At 33.2% G+C, this 17,444-nt stretch overlaps 1 annotated feature.

The window, feature by feature from the left end:
• Positions 14,541-15,042: an enhancer, noted in NCBI's record as "NANOG hESC enhancer chr13:61890787-61891288 (GRCh37/hg19 assembly coordinates)". NCBI's record gives its function as "activates a minimal SCP1, AML or CMV promoter by ChIP-STARR-seq in naive H9 embryonic stem cells {active_cell/tissue: H9 hESC(naive)}" and the evidence as "EXISTENCE:reporter gene assay evidence [ECO:0000049][PMID:30033119]".

Here is a 17,444-nt window from a genome sequence, read left to right on the forward strand (position 1 = left end):
GCAATGTACCAGAATCTCTGGGACAGAGATAAAGCAGTGTTAAGAGGGAAATTTATAGTATTAAATGCCCCTATCAAAAATCTAGGGAAATCCCAAGTGAGAACCTAATGTAACAACCAAACTAACTAGAGAAGCAAGAATAAACAAACCCCAAAGCTAACAGAAGACAAGAAATAACTAAGATCAGAGCTGAACTAAAAGAGATAGAGACACTAAAACCACTTCAAAAGATTGATGAATCCAGGAGCTGGCTTTTGAAAAGATTAATAAAATAGAGGGACCACTAGCTAGACTCATAAAGAAGAAAAAAGAGAAGATTCAAATAAACACAATCAGAAATGATAAGGAGGATATTCCCACTGACCCCACAGAAATAGTCAGTTGTCAGAGAATATTATGAACACCTCTATGCACATAAACTAGAAATCTAGAAGAAATGGATAAATTCCTGGATGCATACACTCTCTCAAGACCCAGCCAGGAATAAATTGAATCCCTGAACAGACCAATAATGAATTCTGAAATTGAGGCAGTAATAAACAGCCTACCAACCCCCCCCAAAAAAAAAGCCCAGCAGCAGAGAGATTCACAGTTGAATTCTACCAAAGGTACAAAAAAGGGCTGGTACCATTCCTACTGAAACTATCCAAAAAATTGAAATGGAGGAACTCCTTCCTAACTCATTCTATGAGGCCAGGATTATACTGATACCAAAACCTGGCAGAGATAACAACAGAAATTTAACTTCAGGCCAATATCCTTGATGAACATTGATGCAAAAAAATCCTCAAAAAACTACTGGCAAACAAAATTCAGCAGCACATCAAAAAGCTAATCTACCACAATCAAGTAGGCTTCATCTCCAGAATGAAAGGTTGGTTCAACATATGCAAAACAATAAATGTGATTCATCACATAAAGAGGACCAAATTTAAAAAACCACATAATTATCTCAATAGATGCAGAAAAGGCCTTCAGTAAAATTGAACATCCCTTCATGTTAAAAAAAAAAACTCTTAATAAACTAGGTATTGAAAGAATATACCTCAAAATAATAAGAACCACATGTGACAAACCCACAGCCACTAGCATACTGAATGGGCAAAGCTGGAAGAATTCCCCTTGAAAACCAGCACAAGATAAGGATGTCCTCTCTCACCACTCTGATTTAACATGGTATTGGAAGTTCTGGGTTGGGTAATCAGGCAAGAGAAATAAATAAAGTGTATTCAAATAGGAAAAGAGGAAGTTAAATTATCTTTGCTTGCAGGTGACATGATCCTATATCTAGGAAATCCCATTGTATCATTCCAAAAGCTCCTTAAGCTGATAAGCAAGTTCAGCAAAGTCTCAGAATACAAAATCAGTGTGCAAAAATTGCTAGCATTTCTATACACCAACAACAGGCAAGCTGAGAGCCAAATCCCAAATGAACTCCCACTCACAGTTGCCACAAAGAGTATGAAATACCTAGAAATACAGTTAACAAAGGAAGTGAAGGATGTCTTGAAGGAGAATTACAAACCACTGCTCAAAGAGAACAGAGATGACACAAACAAATGGAAAAACATTCCATGTTCTTTGATAGGAAAATATTGTGCAAATGGCTATACTGCCCAAAGCAATTTATAGATTCAATGCTATTCCCATTAAACTACCCTTGACATTCTTCACAAAATTAGAAAAAAAACTATTAAAAAATTCATATGGAGGGCCAGCTGCAGTGGCTCATGCCTGTAATGCCAGCACTTTGGGAGGCCGAGGCAGACAGATCACCAGGTCAGGAGATCGAGACCATCCTGGCTAACACGGTGAAACCCCGTCTCTATTAAAAAATACAAAAAATTAGCTGGGCATGGTGGCGGGTGCCTGTAGTAGCAGCTACTCAGGAGGCTGAGGCAGGAGAATGGCGTGAACCTGGGAGGCGGAGCTTGCAGTGAGCCGAGATCGCACCACTGCACTCCAGCCTGGGTGACACAGTGAGACTCCATCTCAAAAAAAAAAAAAAAATTCATATGGAACCAACAAGAGCTAGCAAATCTAAGGCAATCCTAAGCAGAAAGAACAAAGCTATAGGCATCACACTACCCAACTTCAAACTATACTACAGGGCTACTGTAACTGAAACAGCATAATACTGATACAAAAACAGATACATAGACCCATGGAGCAGAATAGAGAACCCAGAAATAAAACCACATGCCTACAACCATCTGATCTTTAATAAGCCTGACAAAAGCAATGGGTAAAGGATTCCCTATTTAATAAACGGTGCTGAGAGAACTGGCCAGCCATATAAAAAAATTGAAGCTGAACTCCTTTCTTATACCATATACAAAAATCAACTCAAGATGGATTAAAGACTTAAATGTAAATCCCAAAACTATAAAAACCCCAGAAGTAAACCTAAGCAATACCATTCAGGACATAGGCACAGGAAAAGAGTTCATGACAAAGATGCCAAAAGCAATTGCAACAAAAGCAAAAATTGACAAATGACATCTAATTAAACTAAAGAACTTTTGCATAGCAAAGAAACTATCAACAGAGTGAACAGACAACCTACAGAATAGGAGAAAATTTTTGCAAACTATGCATCTGACAAACATCTAATATCCATCGTTTATAAGAAACTTACACAAACTTACTAGAAAAAAAAACCCCATTAAAAAATGGGCAAAGGACATCAACAGATACTTCTCAAAAAATACATACATGTAGCCAAAAAACATATGAAAAAAGGTCAACATCACTGATCACTAGAGATATGGAAATCAAAACCACAATGAGGTACCATCTCACACCAGTCAGAATGGCAATTAGTAAAAAGTCAAAAAAAAAAAAAAACAACACAGATGCTGATGAGGTTGTGGAGAAAAAGAAATGCTTTTACACTGCTGGTAGGAATGCAAATTGGTTGAATCACTGTGGAAGACAGTGTGACAATTCCTCAAAGACACAGAGACAGAAATACCATTCAACCCAGCAATTCCCTTTCTGGGTATATACCCAAAGGAATAAAAATTGTTTTATTATAAAGACACATGCACATGTATGTTCATTGCAGCACTATTCACAATAGCAAATACATGGAATGCCCATCAGTGACAGACTGGATAAAGAAAATATGATACATATACATCATTAAATACTATGCACTGATAAAAAGCAATGAGATCATGTCCTTTATGGGGAGTTGTATGGAGCTGGAGGCTGTTATCCTCAGTGAATTGAAGCAGGAACAGAAAACCAAATACTGCATGTTCTCACTTATAAGTGGGAGCTAAATGATGAGAGCACATGGACACATGAGGGGGAACAACACACACCGGGGCCTGTCATAGGGTGTGGGGTGGAAGGAGGAAAGAGGATCAGGAAGAATGGCTAGTGGATGCTGGGCTTAATACCTGGGTGATGGGATGACCAGTGTAGCAAACCACCATGGCACTGTTTACCTATGTAACAAACCTGCATATCCTGCACATGTACCCCAAACTTAAAATAAAAGTTAGAAATTTAAAAAAAAACACAAAGTTGAAATAACATTAAAAAAAACTTATTTAAAAAATAAAAATAAATGCAAATTTCAAGTTTTATGTGTATATATGTATGCGAAGAGGGTGAGGTTTTGTGTTAATGATAAAATAGGTAAGTTGCAAAAGACAGAGAGGAGTGTTTTTACTCTCAAAGAAAGATGGGAGGATTTGTTCTACACATAGCAAGATTTACCTAAAAGCTATTTTAATGAGGAGAGTGTGCTGTTTATGCAGGGCTACACAAATAGAATAAATAATTTAGAAACAGAAATACACATATCTGAACAATTGATATGTACTAGAGAAGGCACTACAGCATAGCAAATGAATTGTTTTTTCAATAAGTGTACTAGGATAATTTTCTATTCACTGAAAATATAAAATATCACTCTTCTGTATCATTAATTAAAATATATTCTTGGTTTATTCAAATCCTTACTATAAAAGTCACAGCAGTGAAGGTGTTAAAAGATAATATATCGGAATGTATTTATGGCTTCTCAGAAAGAAGCTTCTGAAAGGACAAGTATAAATCAGAAACCATAAAGGCAAAGATGAGTAAATTTGATTGCATTATAATTAAAACTTGTATTAGTAAATAAAGACATTATAAACATACTAAAAATAAAATATACAAAGTAGACTAAACTATTTGTGATACATGCTTAAAATTAGGATTTATAATACATAGATAATTATTACAAATTAATAGGAAAATCTCAGATAACCTAGTAAAGATTATAAAAAGTCAATTCATACAAAAGTCAATTAATAAAAAAAGTTTAAATGAGTAATTCATTTATGAAAGCAAACATTAGAATGCAAATAAAAATCTCAACAAAATAAAAACCATATATATTCATAAAATTGGCAAAATAAATCAGACGTCTGATCATTTTAGGTGTTGGCAAGGATATATAGAAATAGGAATAATTATATTCTACTAGAGGAAATTGTTGATATTGGCAGTGATATTTTTATCATGTTTACTACATGTTTATTGTGAACAGATGCATACACATCATTATAGTCTGAATGTTTGTGGTCCCCCCAGTTCATATGTGAAAATCCTAAAACCCAGGTGATGTTATGGGAAATAGACCTATATTTCCATCTTGTTTAAGCCAGAAGTATTTTGTACTTTGTTACAGGTGCAAAACCAGAATTCTAGTTAATATAGCTAGAAAAAACTAGCAGGAGAGAAATTAGAAAACACATTATTGGAGAACCTGGAAAATAATCATGACAATCTGGCCCAAATAAATAAATAGTCTCTGGAAACTCTATGAGAGCTTTAAGACTGAAGACTCTTTAAGTCTAAATATCCTCTAATTAGCAAAAATGTGAATTTTGAAACTAAAGAGTAGCTCTTTTCTATCACTAATTACTTTCAGTATGTTTATGTATAGTATAAGAATACACAATCTGCAATATACTGAAGGTTTCTAAACATCTAAATCCTTAGATGTTGTGATTGATATCTACACTTCTGGGAAAGATAGATAAGATCTATGGTCCTAGGTTCACAGCTGAAGAAAGCTGTCTGTTTCATTCTCAGGTGATACAGGGACACACACAGGTGCTAACTTGGAGGCCTCATTAGGACTTCTGAAGCATTTGCTCTCAGCCTATAAACAATTTTGTGCTTAGTATGTGTATGTGTTTGTTCAGCTTTTTTTTTTTTTCTTGAGACAATCACTCTGTCGCCCAGGCTGGAGTGCAGTGGTGCGATCTCGGCTCGCTGCAACGTCTGGCTCCTGGGTTCAAACAATTCTCATGCCTCAGCCTCTCGAGTAGCTGGGACCACAGGCATGCGTCACCACGCCCGGCTAATTTTTAGGTATTTTTAGTAGAGACAGTGTTTCACCATGTTGGACAGGCTGGTCTCGAACTCCTAACCTCAAGTGATCAGCGTTCAGTTTATTTCTAAAGGAACTTTATTATTATTGTTATTATATTATTATTTGTTTATTTTTGAGACAGGTCTTCTAGGCTAGAGCATAGTGGCGCGATTACAGCTCACTGCAGCCTCGACCTCTTGGGCTCAAATGATCTTCCGCCTCAGCCTTCCAAATAGATGGGACTACAGGCATGCACCATCATGCCTGGCTCATTATTATCTTTTTCTAAATTACTAACAGCAGAAATTGCAATTCACTAAGGCAGAATGGGCAATAAACTACTTAGATTTTCTTTTCCTTCTTCATTTTCAGTCTTAGTTGTTCTCTATTACCACCCACTGTGTATCAGGAGCTGCATCACAATCAGGCCAACAGCTTAGACAGTCCACATATATATAATAATACCACCATCTTTACAGGTAGTCAATAGACTATAATAAAAATTTACCTTTGCATTTAGACTTGATTTCAAGTTTTCAAATAGTAATACACTATTTTTGATTTGGACCAAGTAATTTAATCTGCTTAGAGCTCAATCCCTCATTAATAAAATGTAACATCTGCCATGCCTTTTTCACAGGAGAAGCAACAGAGCACATTCTGAAGGAAAATAACATGGGCCTGAATCTTGACTTTGCCATTATCTAGTCATACATTCTTGAGTATCAGCAAAATTTTCTAAACCTTATTTTTCTCATCTGACAAAAGAATAAATACACACACAGCAGGATTTTTATCAAGATTAAATGAGTTAATGGATGTGAGAGTGTATAGCAGAAGACCTCACACTAGTGAACCCTTAAAAAGCTTATTTAATTCATTTATTGTCACTTGGGATTTTAGGAAATATCAAATAAGGTAACAATGAGAAAGTATTTTAAAGTAATATACAACTCTTAGAAAATGTCATAGTCTCAAATAACTACTTTCCTTAGAAAGTGTACTTCTCCATATATCATTTAGAGAATGTGTCTTCTCAGTCTACAGTTATTGATAATATCAACAGTAGTATATGGGAAAAAATAGAGAGATAATTCAGAGGTCATATTAAAATTTAAATCTTGTTTTCTTTTCTATTAAATACTAGGAACAACAATTATGTCTGATTTATTTATGCCCTACTCTGTTATTAAAATATTTCAACAGATTAACAATATAGATTACAAGGCAAACAAACAGATTTCCAAATGTCTTCACTTTACTTCATATTAGCTTTCTGCACAATAGAAACTCAACTGACCTCATGGATTTTTCTACCGTTGGGACTTTTCTACCAAAGAAATTAACTTAATAAGTAAATTAATCTTTATAGTACCTAAAGTAATTATTATTTTCTTTCAAAGAAAATGGCAAAAAAATAGAAATGGGCTATGGCTTGGACAAATTATATAAATTACGTCTTCTCAAAAATGTAATTGGCTACTTTAACATAAAAAAGGGTTCAAATAAATTTGACTGGAAGTGTTTTCTTTCTAGTACACAGTGCAAGATTCATAGAATTCATATTTTATAAAAATAGTTCATGCAGGTGAAGAAAACTGTGCTCAAATTTGTGCTGAAACACCAATTGGAATCAGATGGCTTAAAAATCTATATAAGCTCAATGAGAAAATAAGATTAGTGAAAAAATCGCTTCTTTTTTTAATGAACATGCTCACTATGCTACCCACTTATAGTAAACTATGCAATGTAATGTTTTCTCAGAGGAAGATGTAAGAAGAGCAACATGTATATCACAAAAGACAAGGCTTATTCTTTATTTGTTTTTTTTAAGTTTATTTAAAATAAAATATATTTTAAACACATTTAAAGAATTTCTTTAAACAATAAAAAATGCCTCAATTAATTTATTTTTATAATTTCCAGTAAACTATTTGAATATCAGATTTCTTCAAATAAAAGCATTAATTTATTTCTGGATTACATAACATTGACATATGTTAAGATTAAAATTTTTAATGTGCACTGTTTGTAGTTGTTCCCTGGTGTTCTTTTAACAATAAATTAAATTTATTTATTTAGAATATTAACCATCACACTATAAGGAGAGTAAAATTTAAAATATAGACATTCTTTCTAAACACCCCAAATCTGATTAGAAACAGTACAGTTATGCCAGCAAGAATAAGGAAAGTCAATTACATTTTGTGGTATGAGGAACAAAATGAGTTGAGGGAGAGAGTTCTGTGTTTTATGGTGGAAACTAATTTAGTATAGGCATTAAAGAATGGAGCAAATTTGAATGATTCTTATGAGGTGAGACAATCATATATGTTGGGAAAATATTACAAAAACATGGTCATGATATGTATGTTTGGTGAAAGATAAACATATCAGTTTGTCATAATCAAAGCAGTCATATGAAAAATGATGGAAGACAATGCCAGATAGAAAAAAATATGGTCAGGTACTAGGACAGCCTTAAATGCTAAGCAAAAGTAAATAATTTGATACAATAAGAAATAAATTGTCACTAAAGCACTGGGATAGTACTAGACTAATAGTATCATTCTACTGAGTAAAACGGATTTTAATTATATAATATTTAAAATATATAGACATGTATTCAAAAACTTTGAAACTTTTTCTGTTGCCTTAAGTCAAGGTAAAAAGTATATCATTTAATTATAGCAATGATAACAAAATAATAATATTGAGTGCTTACAAAATTTTAGACTCTATACTAAAGGCTATTTGTGTATTAACTTGTTTATTCCTTGCAAATTCCTTTTTACAGAGGAGAATACAGCTCTATAGTTCAACTTCTGTATCTCTACCCTCCAATGCAGCTATAAGTTTTATAAGTAAGCCTCATACTTAATAGAAAAAAACCTCAATATCCATTTTCAATATTTTCTCTCCATAGTTTGAATTTGTTTGAAAACAATTATTTTCTTACTCATTGTTAAAAGGTCGCCTTTATTGTGAAGATACCTGCATCTTCTATTTATTTACTCAAAGAATATCTATTAGGTTTCATATGACAGAGAGCCACCTGTCATTGATAAAACATGTCAACAATTTTGAATAATTGCTTTCTTTCCTTCTTTCCTTGGTAAAAGAAAAATTCAAAATTCACCTTAAAGTTTAATAAAGCCTTTCACGGTTACCTTCTGGTAACCATGAAAACTCTGTGTGGTTCAAAATTTGTGACTCACTGTTTCATTGTGATATATTTTAAAGATTCTAATATATTTCAAGGTCTATTCATATAAATTTAGCTACATCAAAAATAACTGATATTATATGCTTTAACTGCCTTTGATGCCTGTTTCTTCTTTTGAATATGCATGCTTAGATTTAGCTTTTTAAATATTTACTTATTTTTATTGATACAGAATAGATGTCATATTTTCAAGGCACTTGAAATATTATGATACATTCATATAACGTGTAATAGTACAATCAGTGTCATTTGCATATACATCACCTCAAACACCTTTTCTTTCTACTGGGAAAATATGAATTCTTCTAACTATTTTGAAATAACAATAGATTATTTTCAACTATAGTCACCCTACTTTATTTTTTAAATGCTAGATCTTATTCCTTTTATCTACCTGATTTTTGTAACCATTAATAAACTTTTCTTTATACTTTCCCTTCCCCTACCTTTTCTGGCCTCTAATAACCACCAATCTACTCTCTATTTTCCTGAAATCCACGTTTTTAGCTCCCCTGTATAAGTGAGAACATGGAATATTTATCTTTCCATGACTGGTTTATTTCACTTAACATAATGACCTCCAGTTTTTTCCATGTTGTTGCAAATGACATGATTTCATCCTTTTTATGGCTAATAATATTCCATTGTGTATATATGCCATGTTTTCTTTATCCATCCATCCATTGATGGATACTTAAGTTGATTTTCATATTTTGAATATTGCAATTAGTGCTGCAATAAACATGAGAGTGCAAAAATCTTTTGATATATTCGTTTTCCTCCTTTTGGATATACATCCAGTAGTGGATTGTTAGATCATATGGTAGTTCTATTTTTAGTTTTTTGAGGAACCTCTATACTGTTTTCCACAGTGGTTAATTTATATTCTCAATAACAGTGTACAGGAATTGCCCTTTCACTATTTGCTTGCCAGCATCCATTATTTTTTGTCTTTTGGATAAAAGCCGTAACTGAGTTGAGATGGTATTACATTGTGGTATTGATTTGCATCTCCCTGATGATTAGTGATGTTGAGCATCTTTAAAAATGTATCAATTGGCCATTTATGCCTTATTTTGAGAAATATCTATTCAGATCTTTTTCTCATTTTTTAATCAGATTATTTCTTTTTTGCTATTGAGCTGTTTGAGTTCTTTATATATTCTGATTATTAATCTTTTGTAGGGTAGATAGTTTGCAAATAATTTTTCCCATTCTGTAGATTTTCTCTTAACTTTATTATTTCCTTTGCTGTGTAAAAGCTTTTTAGCTTGATGTAATCTTATTTGTTCAGTTTTGCTTTTGTTGCATGAGCTTTTGAGGTCTTACCCCAAAATATCTTTGCACAGACAAGTATCTTGAAGCATTTATCCCAATGTTTACTTCCACTTATATCATAGTATCTGGTCTTAGAATTAAGTCTTTAATCCATTTAGATTTGAATTTTGTATAGGATGAGAGGTAGGATATAGCTTTATTCCTCTGCATAGATTACCCAGTTTTCTTGGTACCATTAATGGAATAGAATGTCTTTTTCCCAGTGGATGTTCTTGGCACCTTTGCTGAAAATGAGTTAGCTAAAAGTGCATACATTTATTTCTGTTATTACCATGCTGTTTTGATTTATATGGCTTTGTAGTATATTTTGAAGTCAGGTAGCTTGACACCTCCAGCTTTGTTACTTTTGTTCAGGATTGCTTTGCCTATTTGGGCTTTTTGTCATTCCATACAAATTTTAGGATTTTTCCTATTTTTGTAAATCATGTCATTGTTTTTTGATAGGGATTACATTGAATCTATAGATTGCTTTGGGTAGTATGGTCATTTTAACAATCTTAATTCTTCCTATCCATGAGCATAAACAACTTTTCCATTATTTTGTGTCCTCTTCAATTTCTTTCATCAGTGTTTTATAGTTTTCCTTGTAGAGATATTTCACTTGTTTAGATATATTTACTCCTATGTATTTTACATATTTTTGTACCTATTATAAATGAGATTGTTTTCTTTATTTCTTTTTTAGACTGTTGTTCACTGTTGGTATATAGAAACAGTGATACTGATTTTTGAAAGTTGATTTTATGTTGCACAACTTTACTAAATTTATCAGTTCTAACAGTTTTTTGTACAGTCTTTAGGTTTTTCTAATATAAGATCATGTTATTTGTGAACAAATATAACTTGACGTTTTCCTTTTTAACGCCGATGCCTTTATTTCATTCTATTGTCTAATTGCTCTGTCTGGGACTTCTAGCATTATGTTGAATAAAAGTGATGAATATTGGTATTGTCTTGTTTCAGATGTTAGATGAAAGGCTTTCAGTTTTTCCTTATTCAGTATAATGTTAGCTGTGGGTTTCTCATACATGATTTATATTGTTTTGAGTTATGTTTCTTTTATACCCAGTTCGTTGAGAGTTTCTGTTAATGTGAAGAATCATGTTTATTGATTTATATTGAGCCAAACGTGCATCCCTGGAATGAATCCCACTTGATCAAGGTGTATGTTCTTATTAATGCGCTGTTTAGTTTAGCTTGTATTTTGTGGAGGATTTTTGGTATATATGTTCATCAGGGAGCTAGGTCTGTAGTTTTTTGTTATTGTTGTGCCCTTGTCTGGTTTTGGTATTGGGATAATGCTAAATGGGACAGAATGAGTTTGGAAATATTCCCTCTCCTTCAATTTTTTGAATAATTTTAGTAGAAGTAGTAAAAATGTTTGGTAGAATTCAGCAGTGAAGCCATCAGGTCTTGAGCTTGTTACGTGTTATTGGTTGGTTCAGATTTTCTATATCTTCACTGTTCAATCTTAGTAGGTTGTATGTGTTATAAAATTAATTTATTTATTTTAGGCTTTCCAATTTGTTGACATAATAGTCTCTAATGTGCCTTTTGTTTCTGTAGTATCATTTGTTTTATCCCTTTGTATTTCTCATTTCATTCATTTTTGGTCTTTTCTCTTTTTTCCTAGTTTGCTTTAACTTTTTTCAGTTGTGTTTATATTTTAAAACATGAACTTTTCATTTGTTGACCTTTTGTATATTTTTTAGTCTCCATATCAATTTATTTCTGCTGTGATTGTTTTATTTCCTTCTTTCTACTAATTTTGGGTTCAGTTTGTTTTTGCTTTTTTAGCAATTTAGATGAATCACTAGGTTGTTTGTTTAAAGTCTCTCTACTTTTTTGATATAGATGTTTATTGCTGCAAACTTCCCTCTTAGTTGTTTAATTTCCATGTATTAGTGTACTTTCCAAGGTTACTTATATTATTGATTTCTGGTTTTATTCTGTTGTGGTCAGAAAATATACTTTAGATGATTTCAACTTTTTAAAATTCGTTGAGACTTGTTTTGTGGCCTAACATATGGTCTATTCAGAAGAACATTCCATGTGCTAATGAAAGAAATTAGTATTCTGCAGGAGTTGGGTGAAACATTCTGTAAGTATTAGTTAAGTGTATTTGGTCTAGTATGTAATTTTTTTATTGATTCTTCTGTCTGCATCCAGATTTTCTGTCTCTATCCCATTACTAACAGTAATGCGTAGAAGTCCCCTACTATTATTGCATTGCAGTCTCTCTCTTGCTTTGTATATATTAATATTTGCTTTATATCATTTATATCAAGGTGTTCCCATGTAGAGTGCACATATATTCATAATTGTTACATAGTCTTGCAAAATTGATTCTGTTGTCATTATATAGTGACCTTCTTTGTCTCTTTTTACAGTCTTTTAATCTGATGTAAGTATAACTACTACTGCTTTTTTTGGTTTCCATTGGCATGGAATATCTTTTTCATCTTTTCACTTTCAGTCTGTGTGTGTTTTATAGTTGCAGTGGGTTTCCTGTAAGCACCATATAATTGGGTCTTTTTTTTCTTTCATCCATTCAGCCACTCCGTCTTTTAATTGGAGAATTTAGTCCATTTACACTCAATGTTATTATTGATACATACAAACTTACTACTGCTGTTTTGTTACTTGATTTCTGGTGTTTTGTAACTCTTCTCTTTTTTTCTTCCTTTCTATCTTTCTTTGTATTTAAATGAAGTTATTTTTAAAAAACTGAAAGAAACTAAAAAGCTTTACACTTTCTATAATCTTCTGCACATATGGACATTTTTTTAAACTCAGTTTATACCTTATATTTTTTTTGAGATAGAGTCTCACTCTGTCACCCCAGCTGGAGTGCAGTGAAACAATATCAGCTCACTGCAACCTCTGTCTCCTGGGTTCAAATGTGTCTCGTGCCTCAGCCTCCCAAGTAGCTGGGACTACAGGTGTGAACCACACCTGGCTAATTTTTTGTTTGTTCGTTTGTTTGTTTTTGAGGTGGAGTCTCGCTCTGTCACCCAGGCTGCAGTGCAGTGGCCGATCTCGGCTCAATGCAAGCTCTGCCTCCTGGGTTCAAGCCATTCTCCTGCCTCAGCCTCCCGAGTAGCTGGGACTACAGGTGCCCACCACCATGCCCGGCTAATTTTTTGTATTTTTAGTAGAGACAGGGTTTCACTGTGTTAGCCAGGGTGGTCTCGATCTCCTGACCTTGTGATCTGCCCACCTCGGCCTCCCAAAGTGCTGGGATTACAGGCATGAGTCACCGTGCCCAGCCACACCTGGCTAATTTTTGTAGAGACAGGGTTTCACCATGTTGGCCAGGCTGGTCTTGAACTCCTAGCCTCAAGGGATCTGCCCTCCTCAGCCTCCCAAAGTGTTGGGATTACAGGCATGAGCCACCACACCTGGCCTAGTTTATAGATTTTTATATTGCCCATCTCTTAACAAGTTTCTGTAAATATTATTTTAATAGATTTGTTTTTTTACTCTATAATAGAGATATACTTACTATACTTACTATTACCAGTGGGTTTTATACCTTCAAATGTTTTCTTTTTGCATATCAGTGTCTTTTTCTTTCAGAACAAATAATTTCTTTTAGTATTTATTTTAGTATTTTTTTTTTTAGTATTTGTTGTAGTATTTCTTTTAGTATTTGTTGTAAGATGGATACAGTGTTGATTAATTCTCTCAGCTTTTGTCTGGGAAAGACTTTATGGCCCCTTTACATTTGAAGGATAGCTTTGCTGGGAACAATATTCTTCTTTAGCAGTTTTTCTTTGCATACTTTGAATATGTCATCCTATTCCCTCCTGGCCTATATGGTTTCCATTAAGAAGTCTGCCAGATAAATTGGAGCTCCTTTTTATCTTATTTTATTATTTTTTTCTTGTTGCTTTTAGGATCCTGTTTTTCTCCTTGGACTTTGGTTGTTTATTATATGCCTTGTGGTAGGCTCATTTGGATTAAATATTTTCAGTGATCTCTGCCCTCCTGTGCTTGGATATTTATATCTTTTTATACATTTGGAAAATTTTCTTTTATTATTTCTTTGAATAAGCTTTCAACTCCCTGCTCTTTTTCAACTCCACTTGAACATCAATGATTCTTAGATTTTCATTCTTTTTCATTCTTTATTCCTTTTTTTCCCTCTGACTGTGTATTTCCAAAAAGCCTGTCTTCAAGATCATTGAATCTTAACTCTGTTCAATCTATTGAGCTGTTAAAAATTCGAATGTGTTATTCAGTTCCACAAATATATTTCTGTTTCAGGATTTCTGCTTGCTTTTTAAAAATTATTATTTCAATCACTTTGTCAAAAGTTTCTGAATTGCTTCCCTGTGTTATCTTGAAGTTCACTGAATTTTCTTACTGCTAATCCTAATTCTTGATCTGAGAGCTCACATATTGCCATTGAACACTGTCACACTAACTTCTTGCTTTGTCCATTTGGGGAGGTCATGATTTCCTCTTTGTTATTGTTCTTGTGAATGTGTGTCTGTGTTTTTGCTTTGAAAGATAGTAATTTATTTCAGTCTTCTATGTCTGACTTGTTTTAGTTTTTCTTGAATATGTTTGCTTACAGATTGCTTGCAGTTTACCCACTGAATTTTCTTTATGCTAGGTTACTGTTTTCTTTTCAGCAGATGGTGTCTTAAGCCCAGTTTTGCCTCAGCTGTAGCAAGCATTCAGAATGCTTCTTGTCCCAGTGGGGGAGGTCCCAAGGGGAATACCCAAGCTGTGTGTGAAGGTTGGCTAGCGCTTTGTGCCTAGGGGGCCCATGGAGCATGCCTCCTACCACATGGTGCTGCTGAACAGCCACTTTGGTTTGGTGTTTTCTTTGGCTGAGATGAACAGCAAGGTTTTTCAGTCTGAGGATGCTCATTCCTTTGTCACTGGCTGCCCTCAGGGTTTTTGTTTGTTTCTTTGTTTGTTTTCCTTTACTGGTACTTGCAATGTGTCCTGTGAGTTGAGGAAAAGACAATTCTCATGTGCAAAGTAATTCATGGTGGTGGGGAAGCTGGTTGTCTGCCTTGATATTACTTACTTCATTGTAGAAACTACGAATCCAGGAGAAACTTTCTATGAATATGACGCCTGGCAGATTGGAGAAGAGTCATTGTGGATACAGAAGTCCAATTTTCTTACCATCTGCTAGAAGTTTTTTCATTTCTCTATTGTTCTAGAGACGGTCCCTTCCTACGATTTGAGTTCTGGGTTATTGCTCGTTGTAATCTTGGTGCAAGATATTTGGTTTTGGTTTTCTACAGAGAGGAATGAAGCCAGATTGCTTCCACTCTGCCATTTTGGTGATGTCACTTTCCTCAATGTCTTTGTTACAATAAGGCCTGTGAATTCTGTGTTAGAGAAATATCTCTTACACCTTATTTCTGAATTCTTAAAAATATTCTATTCAAAGAAGGAATCATACCAGTGGTTAGTCTTCCATGGTTACTTGAGAAAATATATTCTGAATTACCTACTTTTTCAGTAATTTACACTAAAAATAGTTGTTTTTGTATTTTCTTTATTGAAATAAAGAAAATTTTGTTTTTTTGTTTGTAAATTTGTAATTTTGTGTATTTTGTTTGTAAACATGTCTTCAAATATTTAAAATTTTGTTTTGTCTTTCAAAAGTATGTTTTGAGCAATGAATCTGGTTCAATTATTAGTCGTATTATTTTCCACATAAATTTTAGATTTTTTTAAAATTACTCAAGGAAAAATAAGTATTCATTTAATACTATGCAGCTTCTTATTTTTAATATTTTATTGTTGGTAACCTTAAAATATGTTTCTAAAATTTATCATTAAGTGAAGTAAAATTTATTAAAGTTTTTACTAAATTTATTGTGTAATTTTAAATATTGTTAAAAAAAGATTTAAAGAATATTTTCAAATTTTGTATAGTTACTGTTTATAATTGTGCATCTGATTATAGTGTCATTCTATGTTTATCATATATCTTACTGTATTATATACTATAAGATCAAGATTATGGTTAATATCAGTGTTTGCAAATCCATGATTCATACAGACACTTAAAAACGTTGGCTAGATGACTGATTTCTTGTCACCATTGATAAGATCATTGTTATTTTTACCTCATAATATGGCTGATGAAAAATATTCACCAAGAATGGGCAAAGAAAGTCGTTTACTTTTGTTTATTTGTACTTGCACAATTACTAGTGTCTTCAACCTATGGTTTCCTTGTAGAGTTCTTTTAAAGCTACCTGTCCATTTCCTGAGAATATTTAGTTAAAATCACATCATATATTCCATAATGTCATTAACCAGGTGCATATAACCTGACAAAAATGACAGAGGGTGCTACTGTCAACCACTTGACCATATAGAATTCTTATGCTTCCTAAAAATCTTGCTGGCCATATGTGCAAAGGGACCATCTGACCTATAACCAAGCAGTATGTTCACTGTCAATTCATACACCAAAAACCAGTAAAGTACAACATCTTTATTATTATTAAAAGAAATGAAAGAGTTAATGCAATATACTCTCCCATTATATAATACTCTTTTTGTTTTTCTCTTGGGTACTACAGTCTCTGTTCAATGAGAAGTGTAAATTGAAATTGAAAGAGATTATTAGTGCAGAGATATGAGAAAGGAAGTTACTGGAAGAATCTCAATGAGATATGATAAATACATGGAGACCATAATGACAGGTCCTACAATCAGTTTGGATTCCTATGAACAATTTTCTTAATCAACTTTATACCTCACCCACAAAGCACCTGAAAGATGCAACATATAATTTGGTTAATCTAAGCTGAATGTACCCTTTTCTTTAATCTTGAGCTACTAGATAATTTGTTCTTTATTTAATTTAAATCATTTATATATTCATTCCTCTAACAAATATTTATTGGGAATAGTATATGTGGCAGGTATTTTTTTTCTTCTAGGCCCTGGCATACATACAGCATAAAGCAATTTAAACAGAAACCTCTGTTTTGGGGAGCTTATGTTCACCATCTACTGTCAACATTCCCATCTCCCAAATACTGTTCCCATTTCTAGGGATAAAGGATAAATAGCTGGGGCCCCAGGACCTCATAGTTTAGTTGAGGAGTTAAAAATGCCAAAAGTAAAAATAAATTTCAGAGCTCTACCAGATAACAAAAGAGTAAATCAGACCTTTAAATTGCCTATTATATGATGAAAGAAATGCTGTATTCATCTTAGTGATTGATTATAGTAAAGAAAAAAGAAGCAGTAAAAAATCAAGTGGCTGGTACGCTACAAAAGGGATCACACTTATGCCAAAAAATACAGCTACAACAAAGGAAGATAATGAGATGATGGCAAGCAAATTACGTGGGTTTTATTATACGTAGATTAGTTTATCTAGAATTTCAGCTCATGGCTGTTTACATTTTGTAGATATTTGTTAATGCTAATTTATACATGTTTTCATATTTTCACATGATTATTAAAGCAGTTTTCCAAAATCTCTGATAATAAACCAGGAAGTTCAAAGCT

This window comes from Homo sapiens, chromosome 13, assembly GCF_000001405.40.
Source record: "Homo sapiens chromosome 13, GRCh38.p14 Primary Assembly".
Taxonomy (NCBI): Eukaryota; Metazoa; Chordata; class Mammalia; order Primates; family Hominidae; genus Homo; species Homo sapiens.